This window comes from Homo sapiens, chromosome 1 (genome assembly GCF_000001405.40).
Source record: "Homo sapiens chromosome 1, GRCh38.p14 Primary Assembly".
Taxonomy (NCBI): domain Eukaryota; kingdom Metazoa; phylum Chordata; class Mammalia; order Primates; family Hominidae; genus Homo; species Homo sapiens.
The window spans coordinates 47,973,416-47,993,177 of record NC_000001.11 but is presented as its reverse complement, the minus strand read 5'-3'; the positions used below and the strand labels follow the sequence as shown (position 1 = coordinate 47,993,177).

Genomic DNA, 19,762 nt, shown 5'->3' with positions numbered 1-19,762 from the left:
GGGACTCCTTCAAGGAGGCCCCAAGATGGGGCTTGGGTCAATTTCCTGAGTGAGGCATGGCTCAGAGACGTGCTGCCCATTAAGGAGACAGCCTCATAAATTGGCTGGACCAGAAACTACCATTGGAATCAGACCTGCTTGCTCCTCCGGAGATGTTGCAAGCTCTTCACCAGGGAAACAGCGGCAGAAACTGATCCCCTTTCCAAGATCTCTGGCCTTTGTTTTTCCAAGGGAAATGCAATATTGTCCCTGGGGAGGTAAGAAGCCAGATTGATTTGCCGGCCAAATGAAAGGCGGGTTTGTCGGTTCTCCTGCTGGCTCTCCCATAATTGTGGAGTCCTTACCCAGAGGGCCCCAGTGGCAGGAGTATTGGGGCAGTTAGTCACGCCCTGCAGGGTTCTGACTACGCCTGACTCCTTCTCCACGGGGGAAAATCCTGTGTATTCTATGGCCCAGTGCTGATTCCTCTGAACATAGCCGCTTTCTCCCTCTGAAGTGACTTTTCCCTTGCCAGCCTCGGGAGCTGATATTATCTGTGTCGGGACCCCCGGCGCTCACCGCCCATCTCATTTCGGAGGCAGGTTTGTGGGAGGCCTCTCTGTTCAGAGGCCTAGGTCTGGCCTCGATATCTTTTTTAGGATGGGGAGGTGAGGTATCCACCATCACTCTCAACACTCTCTTTGCACCAACCACAGAGGAATCCGACAAAGGCTGAAGGGAGCACACACAAACTCTGGCTAAGCAGCCCCTGTCTTTAATCCGTCTCTCTTAAAACAACAAAACTATCTTTCTTTGGGGTCGGGAGACACTCCTGTTCAACCAAATGATGGCTTTGGTAGGGTGAAAACATTTGCTGGAAAGTGTGTGTGAGGTTATGTTTTAGGAAAAGTTACTGAGAGCCATTCATCGGCCGGGAGGGAGCCTGCTGACAGTCTCCAAAGCTCATGTTTGAAGATCAAACAGACTCCAATTCTATTTCAAAAATGTGCCCAACCCATCACCAGCCTGGGCCCACTCTTAAAATTGTTCTTTGGTCCAGCTCCTCAAAAGAGCTGCAGAAAGCAAGTCCCAAACAAAAGAAAACAGAACTCCTCTTAGTTCCCTAATCTCCATACCCTTCACCACCTGCCAGAGTGTCCAATCATGCCAATTTGTCCTGTTATCATTTTGTAGGGAGGCGATGAAATCTCTCCTCCATCCCCTTGGGCAGCCTTGGACTAAATGGGAAGGGTGGGATTCTGGAGCCTAGGCAGATGAGGTCATTAGGGATCCAAAAATTCAAAATCAGAAATGCAACAGCCTTCTCAGTAAAATTACATGCACGCGTGCACAGTTTGATATGAACATCTGTGATGCATTAGTGCACTGAAATATCTGTTAAGTGCATCAGATTTTTATTTTTTCTTTCCTCGCAGCATTACTGTTATTGCAAAATATTTGGGTTGGGGAGACAGTGAGAGAAGAAGGCGGGAAAAATAAGGCTTAAAACAGTGTCTTTTTGTTAAGATCTGGGATTTTAGTATTAATGTTGTTTTTAAAATTTTTGTATTTTTTTCTGGACAGAAATAACCATAATTTTGCTTGTTAAATGGAGAAAGAAAGCTTAAGTTTTGGAACCCTGGAAAAAGCTTCTTCCACCCTTGCGCAGCTTGGAAGATCAGGTCTATTGTTAGGTTTTGGTCTTTGATTTCAAAATAAACTGAGGGTGCTAGACCCAACATCACCGTGACTTTGCTATGTGACCTTGGGCAAGTCACTTCCTCTCTCTGGGCCCTGTTTTCTTGGTCTGTGAAATAAGACACTGAGATGAGGTCATCATTCAAGCTCCTTCTAGCCCTGACATTCCATAGGATGATTCTAATCAATTCCACGTGCCAGGCACCCTGCAGGAGGCTCCACACGCTTTTCCACTGCATTGAATTCTCATAACAACCCTATGGCTTTCTAAGGTGGGCATCCAGAAATGTTGAATGACTTGCCCAAGGTCACGTGGCTAATAAGGAACAGAGCCAGTCAGCCTGACTCTGTATGAAGGATGTGTTCTCCCAGCTTCCCCACACTGTTTCTCTAGACTTCCTCCTGTCTAGGTATTTGATATCTTCTGTAATCATTCCTTAGTTCTTTCTTCTGTTTCTCTCTCCCCTTTAGGACTTGAGGGCTTAAAATTGTCTTTCTTGGAAAATTTATACTTGTAGAGATATTTCCTTCGGCTATGAGGCTGGTGGTGAGGCAGGTCTCTGAAGGTTTTCTTGTTGTATTGTAGACAGCTCAGCACAGTGGGCTGGAGATAGGAGACTTGCTTCCAGGTGTCAGTCCCAGCCTCAACACTAAAACCAACGTTTTATATATATATATATATATATATATATATATATATATATATATATATATATATATATATATATAAAACCAACGTTTTAAAACCAACAACTTGTATATAATCTTGGGCAAGACTTGGTATGCCCATCCATCCAATGGGGCAGCAATTACCAGTCTTTCAAAGTTGAGCTGGTTTTTGTGGGGACATGAGAAGATACTACCTGTGGGAGGTTGTTGATGGGTTAAAATGACTACTTGGATGTTGGTTTTGTGCTTGGCAAACAGTCTAGGCTGGCTCCAGGGCAGGGAAAGAGGAAGGCTGCATGGGAAGTTGCCACTCCCTTCTCCCAGCAGCCATATCCACTCGTCATCCCTTGTTGAACGTTGGAGTATTAGGAGGCGGTGAGCCCCTGCCCTTGGGGGCCCAAGGATGCCTAAGTCTTGAGTCCAGATCTTATGACAAGCTTGAGACCTGCAGATTTCTATCAGCTCTGCCTGCTGCCACCAGGGACTGGTACCGGCTGCCACTACTTCTCCCTCTAGGGGACCTGAGTCCTCCCCTTCAACTCCCTGCATGGCAGAGTCGGAGACACTGGATGAGACCTCAAAGTTACATGGTTCTGTGAGGTATAATAAGAAAACAAGGACTCTGCTATTCTGTACTTTACCAAGCATGTGAGCATTACCCATCTAATATGTGTAGCGCCTGAACACAGAACCGTGCCTGCCAAAGGTGTGCAAAATGTTTGTAAAATTCTACAAGTCCCTCACTTGAGGAGTTAGAAACCACAATACCATTTATTGAGTTTTGTCTCTATGCAGGGTGCTGCATTAGACCTCATAATTACATTATCTCTAACCCTCACAGAGATGCAACAAGATTTATTATCGTATTTATTTTCAAGACCATAAATTGAGATCTGAAAAGGTGAAGTCATTTGGCTGTGATTACACAGACAGGCCAAGTAGACTCAGTGTTCAAACTCAGGTGAGTCCATTACCACAACCCCTGCTTTCCCAGTGTCTGAAAGATGACCTGGTTTTTATTAGATGACATTTCTGCTGAATTGTGTGTGTGTGTGTTTGTGTGTGTGTGTGTGTGTGTGTGTTGGAATGGTGGTAGACCATCATTTCTTGCCGAAAAAGAGAGAGAGAGAATTGAAAAGTGCTGGAACTGATTTTCTCCTTGACTTATAAATTGGATCTCAAGGTGATTCTAAAATAGGAGTTCTCAAAGACATTCTGGGCATCAGCTACTCCCAGGGAATATGTCCCAAACTTTCTAAGCCACTGCTGTGAAGACATACACACACACACCCCCCAATATAGGCTAAGCCTGCACAGTTGAATAAAGATCTCCTTGGTTTATAGTCAGAGCTCCTATGTCTACACCCTGGCGGGGCCAGCAAGTATTAGTAAGTGCTGAGTAACTATTGGGAGCATGAATGGATTAATGAGCAAATGGTCAAAAATCATGATGTGACCATCCCTGATTCCGTTCCACCATGCAGCATCATTGAAGGAATGAACGATGAAGAAAAGTATAAATCACAGCAAGGAGCCCCCTTCTGAACTTTGAAAGCTCCTTTCCATCCTATAAGGACAAAAAATGTCAAAATTATCATGTAGGCTGCTACAGCAAAATACCTTACAGTGGGTAATTTATAAACAACAGAAATTATGGCTCACAGTTCTGGAGGCTGGGAAGTTCAAGATCAAGGTACCAGCGGATTTTGTGTCTGGTGAGGGCCTGTTTCTCATAGGTGATGCCTTCTGTGTATTTACATGGTGGAAAGGGTGAACAAGCTTCCTCTAGCTTCTTTTGTAAGGGTCCTTATCCCATTCGTGAGTGTACAGACCTCATGAACTAATCTACTCCCAGAAGTTCCACCTCTTCATATCATCACCTTGGTGGTTAGGTTTCAACATACGAATTTTGGAGGGACACATACATTTGGACCACAGCATAGGCAGGTCGTATTCAAAGCAGGTTCTAATCCTGATCCTGTTAGTACCTTGCCTGTGACTTTGGGCCAGCCCTTTTCCCTTTCTAGGCCTAATTTGCCCCCCTTTGTCCCATGAGAGCGCTGGGCTAGGTGATTTCCAGTGTTGGCCCAGGTCTGACTTCTGTGATGCGTATCTCCCATATTTTGGAGAGCCTAGGCCAACCAAGTCTGAAATTTTGAGCCTGAGTTATCTGTAGTTGGGAGGGGCTGGCAGGCTTGTCTTTGGCAGTTGCTGCTGATACCTATTTGTCCAGAGCCTGTTGGTTCCAGTGGGTGATCCTGCTGCCAGGCTTCAGACAGGAGAGCCCCAGCCTGTCACGGCACAGGCTGCTGGACACCCACCCAGCCTCAGCTGCTCTCCTTCATTGTGACTCTTCTCCCTCTGTTGCTCCTCACTCATTCAACCAGAGCACCTCACTGTGTTGTGCCAGTGAAGGGTCTGGGAAGAGACTTCGAAATGTGTCTTTGCCTGCCGAGAATTCATTACCTGAGTGTGCACCCCATTGCTTTTATGCCCTGAGAGGTGGGTATTATTAGTCCTGTTTGCAGCATGGAAACTGAGGCACAGAGCACCTGAATATTAGTCTCTCCTGTGCCCTGGTTCTCCACACTTCAGATAGAGACCCTGTTCTTTCTTCCCCTTTTGGTTGTATGCTCCCACCTTTCAGAACCATTCTCTAATTTCCTGTCCTCCAAGAATGGCCATCCTTGAGTCCTCCAGCCCTCTCTGGGCCTCTGTGGCAGCCCTGGAGCCCACAGTGTTATACCTTGTCAGATCTCTTGTCAGATCTATGTGCGCTCCTTAGAGTAGAGGGAGCAAGCCTTCCCCGAGGCCCCAGACACCCCTGGAGGACCTCAGACCGTGCCGAAGCCTTTTCTCCCAGGAAGTCAACCATGGAGGGAGAGCCCCTCCATCACCGTGGAATTAAACACAGGCTGGCATCGCCTATACCATATACCTCCAGAACCTGGACTGAGAAACAGGCTTCTTCTGGCGCGACCTTCACCTTGTGCTTCGGCAGTCTGCCACACCCGCTGTGTCTCCCCCACAGAGCCATCTGGTAAGGAGCTGCTCAGCAAATGTCCATCACCGGGTGTCCCCTAGCAGGGACCCCTGGGCATGTGCTCACTCAGATTATTTCTGTGCCCAGAGGGCTGTTTGTGAAGAACCCCTGCAGGCATGGCGAGCTCTGTCCATCCCCTCTCCATGACCTGGTTCATTCGTGTCTTAATATTTAATATATTATCTAAATGTAGGGGGATAACACACACAGAAGCAGGAGCACAGGATAGCTTATGCACCTCCATCAGAGGAGAGTGAGGTCCTAAAGCTGGAGGTGACCAAAATGTCATGAGATATTCTAGTCTCAGAATTGGAAGTTCACAGCAAGAAGACTTCTAGGCTCAGAGAATCTCCAACCATAAATCCAAACTCTGAGGCTCAAAGAATCTAGGAATGGTGAAATCTCAGAACATTAGGCTCAGAGACATTTAGGGACTCAAAGAATCTTCACTTCATGAAATCCTAGCCTCTTAGCTTTGAAGAATTGTCAGCTCATGGACACAGACTTCTAAAATCTTAGAGTTGGAAGGGGCCAGCTCTCAAGAATTCCAAGAACCCTCATCCGCAAACATATTGTCTGATCTTCCCCCAACCCGCTCTCCAATCCCAGGCCAAGCAGAGAAAACCTGACCGGCAAAGCACTTTCTGACGGAGATAAAAATGGGAGCGTGCCTTTGTTAATAGTTCCCATTTGGACGTCTCTCAAAGCCAAGAAGAGGTCGCCTGGTAATGCAGCTTTCCTAGGGAGGAAACAAGAATGCCGGCGTGAGCGCCACAGCCTGCCAGCCGGGCTGCTGACGCTCTTTTCCCCTTGAGTTTGCTTCTAAATATTATCCACTTCACTCCCTTTTATCTCCCATCACTGGCTCTCTGTCCGCCCACTTAATCCACAGGCAGCCGGTGGCCGAGCCTTCAGTTCTGTTCAGCGGCTGCCAAGCCGTCTCGCCGAGCAGCTCCTCCAGGATCCACAGGCTTTTAAATCTGTGCACTATATCCGCTGGAACACAAAACTGTTGCCCCAAGCTTGGAAACGCCGTTGCTTCTGCTAGGCCCCCTCCCTCTTTAGGAATTTCCTCCTTTTCTATTCTATTTCTGAATCCTGAGATTTTTCAAGGCTCAGCTTAAAGCTGTACCTCCTCCAGGAAGTCTTCCTAGAATGTTCCCAGGTCTAATCTGCTCAGAAAGACTTGGGCCAAAGCTTTACTTAATGACCCAGCCACATATATTTTTCCCCTCTGTGGAATTATTTATGGCATTTTACGACATTCTTTCAGCACTTATATATTTTGTTTATACTTTTTTCTCAGGCAGTCTTTTCTCTTCTGATTCAAACCTAGCTCAAAATGTGCTCACAATTGATTACAAAATTAGATTGAATGTTCTCCAGTTCTGAAGTTGGGGCTTTGTGGTATATTCTGTGGTTGGAGTGTTGGCAGCTCTGGATGCTAAAAAGGGACTATGTCTTGGCCTCTCTAATTCTCAGAAACTTCTTAGGCTTTCCACCTGAGACATATTCAGTACTGTTGCTGGCCCATTTGGTCAAAACTTTGTAACATTCATGGGTCCCTGTTGGATTCATTAATCTCCATCCTGGGATATTTTGGGTTTTTTTCCTTCCTTTTCAACTGTTACTTGCAAACAAGTCTCTGTTTTTCTCCTCTTCACTATCCAGAGCACACATGATCTTCTCCAGGCTCACAGCATCCCTCCACTTATTTTCATGTTAAAATGCTTTTTATTCTTTGCTTGCTATCTTGGTTTTGGAGCACCAGGGTTGCTGAGCTGTATGATATCTCCCTCCCTCCCTCTCACATATACTCCTTAGTTATGCCTCCATGCATTTGCTCATGTTGTTCCCTCTACCTGGGAGCCCCTTCCCAGTTTTTATTTTCTGGCTAACTCTTACTCCTTTGAATTGGTAAAGGCCCCTGAGGACCATCCATGTTAAAAGCTTGGGCTCGTCAAACAAATGTCACTTTACAGCAAGACTTTTATCCATGGTCATCAGATTGGATGGATGCCATGTAATCATAACTCAGTAGTTTGAGTTTAGGTGCAACAATGTAATTGGCTTTTAGCATTGTTTTTTGAAAGAACTGGTAGGTAAATTGTACTTGGGCCACACTGAATGCCTGGCTTTACTGGAAAAGAGCCATGAGGTCATCAGACCATGCCTATAAAAGTCAGGGCCCTGGGGCCATCTCTGAGGGACAACCTAGGGCCTTAAGAGATGTGTGGTCTCTGCCTTTGCACCTGTTGCTGGATTCTGTGTTCCTTCCGAAGGACTTAGACAAGGTGGTTTCCTTGGGAGAACCTGGGCTTTTCCAAACAGCACCTGACCACCACCCCTGCCCTGAATGCTGACACTCTGTCACCTTCATTCTTGGGATTCTCCCTTTACTTCCCATTGACTCAGGAAGGGCAGGAGGAGACATTAAGCTCCTTCCCACCTCCCTTATTCAGAGGAACATCCTGGTCTGATTCTACCTTCAGAACCAAAAGTCAGTCTTTAAGTTTACACGTCATAGTGCAGACTCAGCTCAGGAGTCCCCTCCACTGGAAAACTTCCAGACATTGGCCGGATGGCCCAGTGCTCCTTCAGTTCCCAGAATAAGTGCACTTATCGGGAGTGTAAGTAACCTTGGGGTAGTTACATAAGCTGTCTGTGCGTCAGTTTTCTCATGTCAACTGTATAGGATTGCTGTGAGGATTAATTGATTAATGTAAAGCACTACAGCACAGTGCCACACACACAAATGCTCAGTACATACTAGCTCATAGTTATTACTTCATTTTCAAATTATCGTTATACAACTTTTCAAGAAATGTTTGTTAGTTCCTACTGAGTGCCAGACATGGGATAAGTGCTGGACGTAGTGAGCGAGAAGAACGTTGCTGTTGCCCAGGTGCTTCCTTTCTTGGTAGGGGACACAGCATCCGTGCAGGTGTTGGGAGGAGGGAGGCTGTGGCTTGTCTTGTGGTGTGTTGTGGGAGTACAGAAGAGGCACAGCTTCCTTGGCCCTGAGGAGATCCAGGAAGGCTTCCTGGAAGAAGCCCAGGTGAACCTGAGATCGGAGGGAGTAAAAAAGCCAGGTAAAGCCTAGGGAGTACTAGGCTCAGGAGATTGGAGGCACCTACGCTAGAGGACGGGGCGCGAGTTGTGCATTTGAGGGCCGAGAGCAGTTCAGCTTGGCCGCTCTCTGCATGGACTGCTACTAGAGAGAGACCATGCTGCATAAAGCCGCCTGCTGGTGTCCCTCCACCTCCAGTTCACCTTGGCGCTCCCCCGGGAGGCTTGCATGACTGTGCCCATTTCACGCCCTGGCGCAGAGGCGAGCGCTCTGTGCATGACGCGTTTGGCCCGAGCCGCGCCGCCTCTCTGGCCTGGCCTCCGCGAGCGCAAGTGCACGTTTCCTAAAAGAGCAGCGGTTGGGCGGCTGCGCCTTGGGGGCCGCAGTGTGTATGTCCTCGCCCGTCACTCGATCAGGCAGCGACACAGGCGGAGCCCTGCGGACAGGCACCTCGGGGCGAGGCGTTCCTGCGGTGGAGGAGGCGGCGCGGCGCGCGGCCAGCCCTGCCCGGGCAGCCACGGTGCAAAGATAAAAGGACAGGCCTTCCCCTCCTTGTCTTCTGTTTAAAGGATTTGCCTCCTTCCTCCCTATTAAGGTTATTTAAAGTTTCCTGGCCAGTGTTATCTCCTGGGGACTTAATGCGCCTTCATGGCCGTTAGTAATTTAAGCCTGGGGTCCCATTCGACAGCCCCTTTTAGAATGATATCAGCGGAGAAAGCCATTTGGAAATCTCTCTGGCTCATCTTTTAGCTTTAGTTCACACGGTTTCCCTTTCTTGAGCTGCTTGGCCTTGAGTCTGAAAAGAGACAAAAGCCTAATTGGCAATGATAATTTCAACCATTTGCATCGCGGTTTGCAATTTCCAGAGGCTTTTCACATGCACGACCGCGTTCCCTCCCGTCCCCAACAAGGACACTTCTAGTGTTAGTCTGTTCCTGGCTCCTCTTTTTTTTTTTTTTTTTCTTTTTTTGCCAGTGTGGTTACTGAGCTCAGAAAGGGAACTGGATTTGCTTCAGAGTGCCAGGCGTTGGGACCCCCAGATATCCAGCTGGGTGGCTCCAGCATCCACTGGATTATAGTACATTTTTGAGAACCAGACCCTGTATTGGGGCCGAGTTGCAGCTGGAAGAGCTGTGGATTGGTCACAGGATGGGTAAACTGAGCCACTTGGGGACTTCGGTGATAACAATGCTTGGTCATTGTGCTTGACCTTGACTGTCATTTTTTTTTTAAACTTTTAGGTTCAGGGGTACATGTGCAGGTTTGTTACGTATGTAAACTACTGTCACAGAGGGTTTTTTGTACAGATTATTTCATCACCCAGGTATTAAGCCCGGTACCCAGTAGTTAGCTTTTCTGCTTCTCTCCTTCCTCCTAACCTCCACGCTCAGGTAGACCCCAGTGTCTGTTGCTCCCTTCTTTGTGTTCCTGAGTTCTTGTCATTTAGCTCCCACTTGGAAGTGAGAACATGCAGTATTTGGTTTTCTGTCCCTGTGTTAGTTTGCTGAGGGTAATAGCTTCTAGCTCCATCCGTGTTCCCACAAAAGACATGATCTCATTCTTTTTTATGGCTGCCTAGTATTCCATGGCATGTATGTACCACATTTTCTTTATCCAATCTGTGGATGGGCATTTAGGTTGATTCCATGTCTTTGCTATTGTGAATAGTGCTGCAGTGAACATTAGCAAACCTGTGTCTCTATGGTAGAATGATTTATAGTCCTCTGGGTATAGACAGTGATGTTTGTTGACCCACCACTACAGAACCCGCATGGTGAGGCCTGCTGGTGGTCTTGGAGGTAATTTAATATTCTGCTTCCATCAGTAGTTTTGTGGGGAGGCTTTTTGATGGAGGTGGCTTTGAGAGACACCTTGCAGGTGGGATAGGATTTGGGCCCCTGGAGATGAGGTGGAAAGGAAGCAGACTTACACGGAAGTGCCAGGATGGGAAAATGCAGAGGGAATGCAGAACAAGCCTTTCTACACTCCCTCCACTGGCTTTATTCTTCCTGTTTCCTATCCAGCCCCTAAGAGAGCCATTGCTATTTGGTGCCTGTTATATGCTAGGCCTCTGGTTTATCACAGTAAATTTCTAAAACAATCCTGAAAGGTAAGCATTTTTCCCTCATTTTGAGGACACTGAGGCTAAGTACTTTGTTCAAAATGATGGAGCCAGGATTTCTACTTGGATCTTTTGATACCTTAAGGAAGAAACTGGACTGGAGTTGGAAATCCAGCTCCTCCACTTTGGCTAGATGGCTGAACATCTGTTTCCATATCTGAAAAAATGGTGCTCACAACAGTATTTACCTCCTGGGGTTGTTGTGAGGCATAAATGAGATAATGCATATAAACCACACAGCTGAGTGGCTGGCACACAGTAAGAGTTAATGAATGTTAACTGTGGTGGCTTAAGTAATGGTCATTTTCATTATTATTATTGGCCCATTTTCACAATGTCTGTCTTGAAGTGAAGCCCATTCTGTACAAAAGATGGCTCTTGGTCCTTTGGTCTCTCACACACTGAGCATCATCCAGTGCAGGGATGGGTTGTTGGTTGGTCTGATGGGAACTATGTGGTTGGACCACCCAGAGCATGGCCATTTATTTTTCTGACCATCTGCAGTGTGTAATGTCTGACTGTATTCATTCTGGCTTGCCTTCACTGTGGTCTCCCACTACTCTCTGGAGTTGGGACACACCAAAAGGAGGGAGTGAAAGGTTTAGGCTGGAGTCCCCAGCTTGAGGCCCAGCTCTGCCCTGGGTTAGATCTGTGACCTGGGGTTCCTGCCTCTCAGCATCCTTTTCCTCTACTGCTCAGACAGGTTGGATGTTACCTAGCAACAGCTTACAGCTCTTGGGAGAATCCAGTGGGATCAAGTCTGAGAAGGCCTTTATCAGCCATCAGGTGCTCTATGCTCTCAGTAGTGCTAGAGGTGCATGTGTTTTTCCTCTTTTCTCCCAAAGTGAAATTCCCCATAAATAATTAATTGAATTAGTTATTATTAAACTGTTCATTCATTTATTTGTTCATTTCTTTGAAAAGCACTGCTGGGAACTACATTGTGCCAGGCTCAGTTCCAGATCCTGAGGGTTCAGAGAGGTATATGGGGCTAGTGGGGAAGGGGGTGGGGTTGAAGAGACCTGAGAGAGAGGTGCCTCACTGCAGAGTGCCAGGAATGATTCTGAGCCCTTTATGTGCACTGCCCCACTTAATCCTCATGGCAGTCTCTCAAGTAGATTCAGCCGCATTTTACAGGTGAGGAAACTGAGTCACAGAGCGGTAATTCACTTGCCTGGGGTCACACAGCTAATGAGTGGAGGATCTGGAGTTTAAACACAGAAACTCTGGCTGCAGACCCCTGTTCTCTTGACTTATCTGCATCTAAGGAAAAGAGAGAATGTGGCCGGGTGCAGTGGCTTATGCCTGTAATCTTAGCACTTTGGGAGGCCGAGGTGGGTGGATCACTTGAAGCCAGGAGTTCGAAACCAATCTGGTCAACATGGTGAAACCCTGTCTCTACTAAAAGTAGAGAAATTAGCCAGGCTTGGTGATGCACGCCTATTATCTCAGCTACTTGGGAGGCTGAGGTACGAGAATTGCTTGAACTGAACCCTGGAGGCAGAGGTTGCAGTGAGCCAAGATCGTGCCACTCTACTCCAGCCTGGGCGACAGAGCAAGACTCTGTCAAAAAAAAAGAAAAGAAAAAAGAAAAGAGGGAATGTGACCCAGAGGAGGTGGAGCTGGAATCTGAGAGTAGAGGCGACAGCCCTTCTGAAACTGGAGATGTGATGAAAGGTAAGAGGCCAGGAGGTGACAGGGACAAGGAGCTGAGAGACTTCTGAGGGTCCCTCTTGAGGAAGGCTGTGGCCCTGGGAAGCAGAGAGTGAGATAGTCCATTTTCTAGGAGATAGAATGAGGAGGGAGTGTGAGGAGAAAGTCTGTGGTGGGCATTCAGAGCAGAAGCTGACCTTGGCAGTTGAAGCGATGGCAGGGCAGGCTGAGGGGCCCAACAGACGTACAGGTGCCAAATTTGTAATGCCACCAGTCTAGATGGCTGGGATGCTTCTCTGCAGAGCTTTCTAGTGTAGGGCAGGGAAAGGGGAAATGTGATGGAGGGCCACCCCCAGCCTAGAGGAATCTCTGTTCAATTTGCCTCAGTAGCTGGACAGAATGTCGCTTCCCACCTGTCATTCAATCTACTGTGTTAGTGTACTGTTGAGTGCTGACCCTGAGTCCCCCACCCCCATGGCAGCTGGGGCTTTGCAGAGCTCAGGTGATCTGGAGGGTCCTATGGATGCTACCAAATGGATGAGCCTGTATTCTTGCTGTCTAGGAGTTAGTTCTCTTTGCTGTTGCATATACTCAATTGTATACAATAGACTGGCCTCACCTCCTTGTGAGTACCTGGTTTGGCTTTAGTGTGATACCACTTGAGCTGTATTGAAGGACAAGTGGGCATGTCCTGGGTTCAGGAGTGGCACCATGTTATGGGGGTGGGTGCTGATGGTGATATTGATCCGGATTGAAGGAATATAGTTACTCATAACACTCACATGTGGAGAACACTAGTGGGAAGCATGGGGAGACTAGGCAATTGACTATAGAAGCACATAGGGGTCACATGATGGAGGCCTTAGGACCATATTAAGAAGTTTGGGCTTCATCCTGGGTGCACTGGGGGGCCACTGACCCTCACTCTCATGTTCTGCATTTCAGAATTCCTTCTGGTTAATAATTGGCCCACCCACTCATTCCTTTGTTGGCTAAACTGGAACACCTCACCCAGGCTTGTCTGTACCTTCCCAACCCTCTTGCTTGAGCCAGAGCAGAAGGGTTCCCAGCTTCTGGGACAGGAACTCAGGACTGGGTTTCCTTTAGAAACAAGGTGGTGAAAGCGATCTGGTGACTGAATGAGACCAGAGTAGTTATACATTACAGGGCCTTTTGTGAGGGAGCCTGAGACCTTGACCACCATTTCTAACGTCGTTGCTGGAGGATAACATTTCCTGCATTTTGTGTCACTTATTTTATGTGATTTATTTGTGGGATTCCACCTGTTCAAAGTGGGGGCGGGGTAAGGCAGGCGATTCCTGATGTTCGCCCCAGCCCCAGCAGAAGTGGGGGATGGGAGGATCCTTGGTCGGTGAATAGAGCACTGGGTTGGGAGTCCCACAGCATGACCAGAGCAAGTCCCTCCCCTCGCTCAGCCCCCTTGGTGGGTGTGAGATTGGTTGGTAAACCATAAACCATACCCCTGCTGCTGCAAAGCCACTTTCTAAGCTGGCTCTGACCTCACTGGAAAGTGGCATTTTAAATGTTATTGTCTTTTATATGTTCACATGTCTGTCTCCTTCATTAAACTGAAGTTCTTTGTGGGAAGGAACCTCGTAGAATGAATCTGGGTTTCCCTGACACCTGGCTTTGAGTACACATGCAGGGACCCTGTGTGTAGCTGTAAAATTATTGACCATGTCTACACATCATCGCCTGAGTATCCTGGTAGAAAACAGGAAGCCCCCTTCCCGCATTGTTCCCACATTTCTAGATGTTTGGTTCCAGGAGGCCAAGTACCTCAGCAGCCACCTCCACTTCCCACGGCAGTCCTTGGGTGCTTTGGCTTTGGGAGGCCGTGACCACTGAGAGCCTTCTCAGCCTCGTGCTCTGACCGACTCCTGGTGCGGCTGTAGCATCCCCCTGATCCTCCATTTCCAAAGGGGCCCTAAGGGCTTTGACTGGACCACCCTGTGGGTGGGAGCTGCTTCTCCTTGGACTGGAGGAAACTTCCCAGCTCTTCCCCACAACCTCCTTCTTCGTGCTTCTGTGTTTTTCCCAGAGCACGGATCAGAGCTTCTGTTTGCTGGTCATTCCGTGATCCTCACACAATATAAATGAAAGCTGCTAAAACCAATAAATTCAAACCATGTGTGGGGCACCGGGGAGGAGCGAGGACGTCAGAGGGCCGCAGTGTGAAGTGGCGTCAGCTCTGACGGCACCCAAGCTGATTTGTTTATGAGAAAAGTAAATATCCAAAGCCATAAACAGCCTTGGGTCTCTCATCATCGCTGGGATTCAAAGGCATTTCGTAGGAACACACACTCTCTGTCTCATGTAAACAAAGTGAGATTCTCTGTGTGTGCTGACCTAAATTCTGCATTTTCATCTTTGGGAATGCCAGCCAGTCATTCGGGTCGGGATACCACAGGCAGTCTGGGCCTGTGCTGGGTTGCCTTGTTTCCGGTTTTGGCAGTTGGCCTCGCACCTTGCTTTGCAGAGGGCTGCCCCATCATCGCTCCTTGGCCTTAGAGCAGTCCTGGATAGTTGTCTTAGTCTGTTCATGTTGCTATAACGAAATACCATAAGCTAGTTTGCTTATTAACAACGGAAATCTATTTCTCACAGTTCTGGGGGCCAGGAAGTCCAAGATCAAGACACTAGTAGATTCAGTGTCTGGTGAGGAACAGCTTTCTGGTTCACGGATGGTGCCATGTCTCTGTGTATTTACATGGCAGAAGGGGAGAACTATGGCCCCTTCAGTCCCTTATAAATGCACTAATACTATTCATGTGGGCTCCGCTCTCAAGACCTAATGACCTCCCCAAATCCCCACTTCCTAATACCGTCACATTGGGGATTAGGTTTCAACGTATAAATTTGGGGGTTGGGGAGGGACACAAATTTGGGGGAGAATTTTGTGAATGGGAACATATTATGGACATTTAGAGCATACCAGATGGATGGAATGGGGTGGCCATTCCCACCCTTGTATGGATGAGGAACATGAAACCCAGAGATGTAAATTGACTCACCCAAGATCACACATGAAATCAGGGCTGAACCAGGACATCTCCCTTTTCTTCTCCTTTAGAGCCCTCCAGCTCTTCATTTCCTCTTCCTGTGATGATACTTCTGTTCTCCCTAACTCAGAATCCAGAGGCATACTTTTCAATTCCCCCTCATTTCCTCTCTCCTCCAATGTCTCCTGGAGCCTGTCCTTCCTCTTGGTTCCTTATTCCTGTGTGTTTTTTTTTTTTTTTCATCCCGGCCATTCTTGTGCTCAAGAAAGAGTCCCAGGAAGTAGCTAGACAGTCAGAGATTTGGGGTTCTGATTTTTCTGCCTGCTGTGACTTCCAACAGATTCCTTCTCTGAGTGCCTCAGTCTTCACGTATATAAAATGGAGATAAGAATACCTATCTTCTTAGGATGATTGCTCGGGTAAATGGAGCTCAGGCATGTGAAAATGAACAGCGTGCCTAGTGGCTGGTGGTTTACTTTGTCCCACTCTCCTTCAGCCCTACACCCTTCAAGTGGCCTTCTAACTCACATATTAAAAATGGACTAACCTGGCTGGGCGCAGTGGCTCACACCTGTTATTCCAGAACCTTGGGAAGCCAAAGTGGGGATCACTTGAGGCTAGGAGTTCAAGACCATCCTGGCCAGTGTGGTGAAACTCCATCTACTACAGATTTAAAAAATTAGCTGGTGACATGGTGGCATGCACCTGTGGTCCCAGCTACTCAGGAGGCTGAGGCATAAGCATCACTTGAACCTGGGAGGCAGAGGTTGCAGTGAGCCAAGATCGCACCACTGCACTCCAGCCTGAGCAACAGAGCAAGACTCTGTCTCGCGGGAAAAAAAAAAAAAAAAAGGACTAAACCTTAAAATTGCATAAAGCTAAATACACCATCCACACATATACATAACTGAGTGCATGTAAAACTGGTGAAACCTGAATCACATCAGTGGATTGTTATCAACCTCAATTCCCTGGTTTTGATATTGTACTATAGTTATGTAAGGTGTTACCACTGGGGGAAACTGGGTAAAGGGTATTATTTCTTACAACTGCATGTGAATCTACAATTCTCTTAAAAGTTTAATTTAAAAAATGGATCAATCTTCCCAACACCCTCAGTTCATACACTCATTCATTCTTCTGTGCCTGCTGCATGCCAGGTACTGCTCATGTACCAAGCATGTATGCAAAAGAAAAGAATTCCATCCCTATCTACCTCAGGTGCTCAAAGATGTTTTCCCCTGACCACCCTATTTGAAATTGCAAATCACTCCCTTGAATTTACTTTCCTTTCTCCTTGCCCTTTTCTACCATAGCACCTGTCATCAATTGCGTTCTATACATTTTACGTATTGCTCTTCACCCCATCACTACAATGCTAGCTCCATGAGAGTAGAAATATTTGTGTGTCGTCTGTATTCTTAGCACCTACTATGTCTAGCACATAGTAGGTAATCAGTTAATGATTGTTGAATGCCTGGAAGGTGACAGATAAGAAACAAGTATGCAAAGTACACAAATGATTAATAAGAAGTCAGAGAGAGATAAATGCTGAATGAAAACAAGCAAAGGAAGGGGTTGGGGAGATAGTGGAGGAAATGTCATTTTGATCCTGGATTTTTCTACAAACCCTGCAGGCCTCCCAGTGTGTAAGGGGTAGAAGGTTGGCTTCTTAGATTATAATTCACTGATTAATTCTCTGTTTTATTCACTCACCAGATATTCCTTTGGGCCATTACTAAGTGCAAGACCTTTTAGAGCAGGCAGAAATTAGGCAGGAAAAGATCTTGCCCCCAGGAAGCTTACAGGTGGAGTAGGAGAGATGGGACAAGAATGCAAATGACACATGAAAAGGAACATGAAGCAGGGGACCTTGAAGGTCTGGAAGGTCTTTTCTGGTCTGGCCCCAGCTCAGCTACCAACCTCCTTTTCCATTGCCCCTCTAGGGAACCCCACAGCTGTACTCAGACTACCATCTGCAGTTAATTCTGGACTCTGTGCTTACCCTGGGGTGCCCTCTGTCCTTCCTCTTGTCACTCCAAATCCTGTTTCCTATTTCAGGTCCAGCCTGGCCCTTCCTGCAGGAAGGCCTCTTTGACTACCCCACTTCCATGATCAGTTTTCTCTGAACATATTTGCCATTTATAGTTTGTATTGCTTCATTTGACCCCTTAGAAGAGTCTTGTGTTTGGCCAGATTTGTGTTTGCCGCTCTAGGACAAGAGCTGGCTGTTAAGCCAAACCCAGGCTTGGGTGTGCAGTAGGCCCTCAGCAGTGCTTGTGGCTGAATGGACTTGAGAACAGTGAGATAACTGAATTCATCCTCAAAAAGGGCAAGATTTGTTATTTTTGTCATTGACCCCAACTTTCCTCACTTAGAACCACTGATGGTTCAGTTTCGGGTGAACCAATGTCTGCCTTTACAATGTTTCAGGTGCACAAAGTAATGATGCAAATGGTATGACCCAGACAGTGCTTAACAGACTTCAGGAATTCGTCTGTTTTCTAGTATCATGCTAAACCCTGTGCTCAGTAAATGCTTACAAAAAGACCTGAAAATATATGTGCAGCATTTATTACTGCACATTCATTCACCTAACAAATGTTTTTTAAATAAACTTTTAATTTTAGAACAGTTTTTGATTTACAGAATTATTGAGAAGATAGTACAGAGAGCTCCCCACACCCAGTTCCCCTGTTATTAGCATCTTATGTTAATGTGGTACATTTGTCATAATGAATGAACCTGATACATCATTATTAACTAAAGTCCATATGTTACTCAGATTTCCTCAGTTTTCCCCTAAAGTTATTTTTTTAATCCAGGATCTTATCCAGGGTACTGTATCACGTTTACTTATCATCCCTTCTTAGAATCCACTTGGCTGTGGCAGTTTCTCAGACTTTCCTTGTTTTCGATGACCTTGACAGTTTTGAAGAGCACTGTCCCTCCATAGGGATTTGTCTGATGTTTTTCTTACAATTAGAGTGGAATTGTGTGTTTTGGGGAGGAAGGCCACAGAGGCAAAGTGCTATTCTCCTCACATCATATCAAAGGTACATGCTAGCAACATGACTTATTACTGTTGATATTAACCTTGATCACCTGGATGAAGTAGTATTTGTCAGGTTTCTCCACTATAGAGGTACCCTTTTTTCCCTCCATCTTTTCATACTGCACACATTGGAAAGGAGTTGCTGTGAACAACCCATTCCTAAAAAGTGGGGAGTTAACTGCTCTGTCGTTAACAAGTGCGTTTTGAAGGCTCAGTCTGCACTGGGCACTGGTACAGATGCTGAAAATGTAGTGGTGAACAAAACATAAAAGATTTATTTTTCCTGCATGGAACTTTTATTCCAGTGAGGATTTAGCAATGAATTAATAAATAATTTTAGGTCATGATAAGGGTATAATGAAAAACAAAAATCAGTAGGCTAGAGAGGGACCAGGCTGCAAGTGGGTGGGGTTTGGATGGGGACAGATGCTTGGTGTCCTTGGGGTTTGGGGAGAAGGTGCCTTAAGAGCTGAATCCAGAAGGATGAGGAGGAGCCAGCCATGAACACCTGGGGAAGGCACATTTTGGGTAGAAGGAACAGCACGTGCCAAGGACCTGAGGCTGCTTAAGGGACAGAAAGGATGTAACTGGAGCCATGCATGTACAGGACATGCATGTCAGGAGATGGAGCAGAGAGGAGATGAGGTGAGATCTCACCTGGCCTACAGGTAATAGGACAGTACTTGGATTTTATTCCAACAGTGGAAGTCATTGGTTTGAAGCAGAAGGTGATCTAATTTACTTTTTGGAGGAGATGCAGACAGAATCTTACTCTGTTCCCTAGGCTAGAGTGCAGTGGTGTGGTGTGATCATGGCTCACTGCAGCCTCGACCTTCCAGGCTCAAGCTATCCTCCTACCTCAGCCTCCCCAATAGTTGAGACTGCAGGCACATTCCACCGCACCCAGCTAATTTTTGTATTTTTTGTAGTGATGGGATCTCACTATCTTGCCCAGGCTGGTCTCGAACTCCGGAGCTCAAGCTATTGGCCCACCCCAGCATCCCAAAGTGCTGGGATTATAGGTGTGAGTCACCGGCCCCGGCCTAATTAAATTTTTAAATGTAACATTGCTTTGCCTGTGGTATGCAAAATGGACTTTCCTGGAGAACAGAATAGAGAAAGCTGGGAGGCCAGCATGGACGCTATTAGAATAGTTCAGGTGGGAGACACTAGTGGTTGACCTGGGGAGGAGTGAGGTAGGTGTGGCTCTGTTTTGGAGGTGAAGCTGAGACATGACTGTTGGTTGCTTGTGGAGATTTCAAGAATCTGGGGTGGCACTTGCACATTTTGGTCCATGGTGGTGCCATTCACTGAAATTAGGGGAGGCTGGAGGAGGAGCAAGTACGAGTATACACACAGTACTTGTAAAATTTCAAGTACTATGTGGTTCATTAGAGAAGCTTCCTGGAATTCGTTTGTTGGCAACATTGTTAGTGGCATCTTCGGGTTA

General features: G+C 46.8%; 1 protein-coding gene across 10 annotated transcripts in view, besides 1 other annotated feature; it reads left to right on the top strand.

Moving 5' to 3' along the window:
- The window catches only part of TRABD2B (TraB domain containing 2B), a 236,858-nt gene that overhangs the window by 4,208 nt on the left and 212,888 nt on the right, over positions 1 to 19,762 (top strand). The window lies entirely within an intron of this gene.
- Positions 15,545 to 15,714: an enhancer, noted in NCBI's record as "experimental_8247 CRE fragment used in MPRA reporter constructs". NCBI's record gives its function as "activates a minimal promoter by MPRAs in K562 erythroleukemia cells, with activity observed for both the introgressed and non-introgressed 1:48443221 variant alleles {active_cell/tissue: K562}" and the evidence as "EXISTENCE:reporter gene assay evidence [ECO:0000049][PMID:34662402]".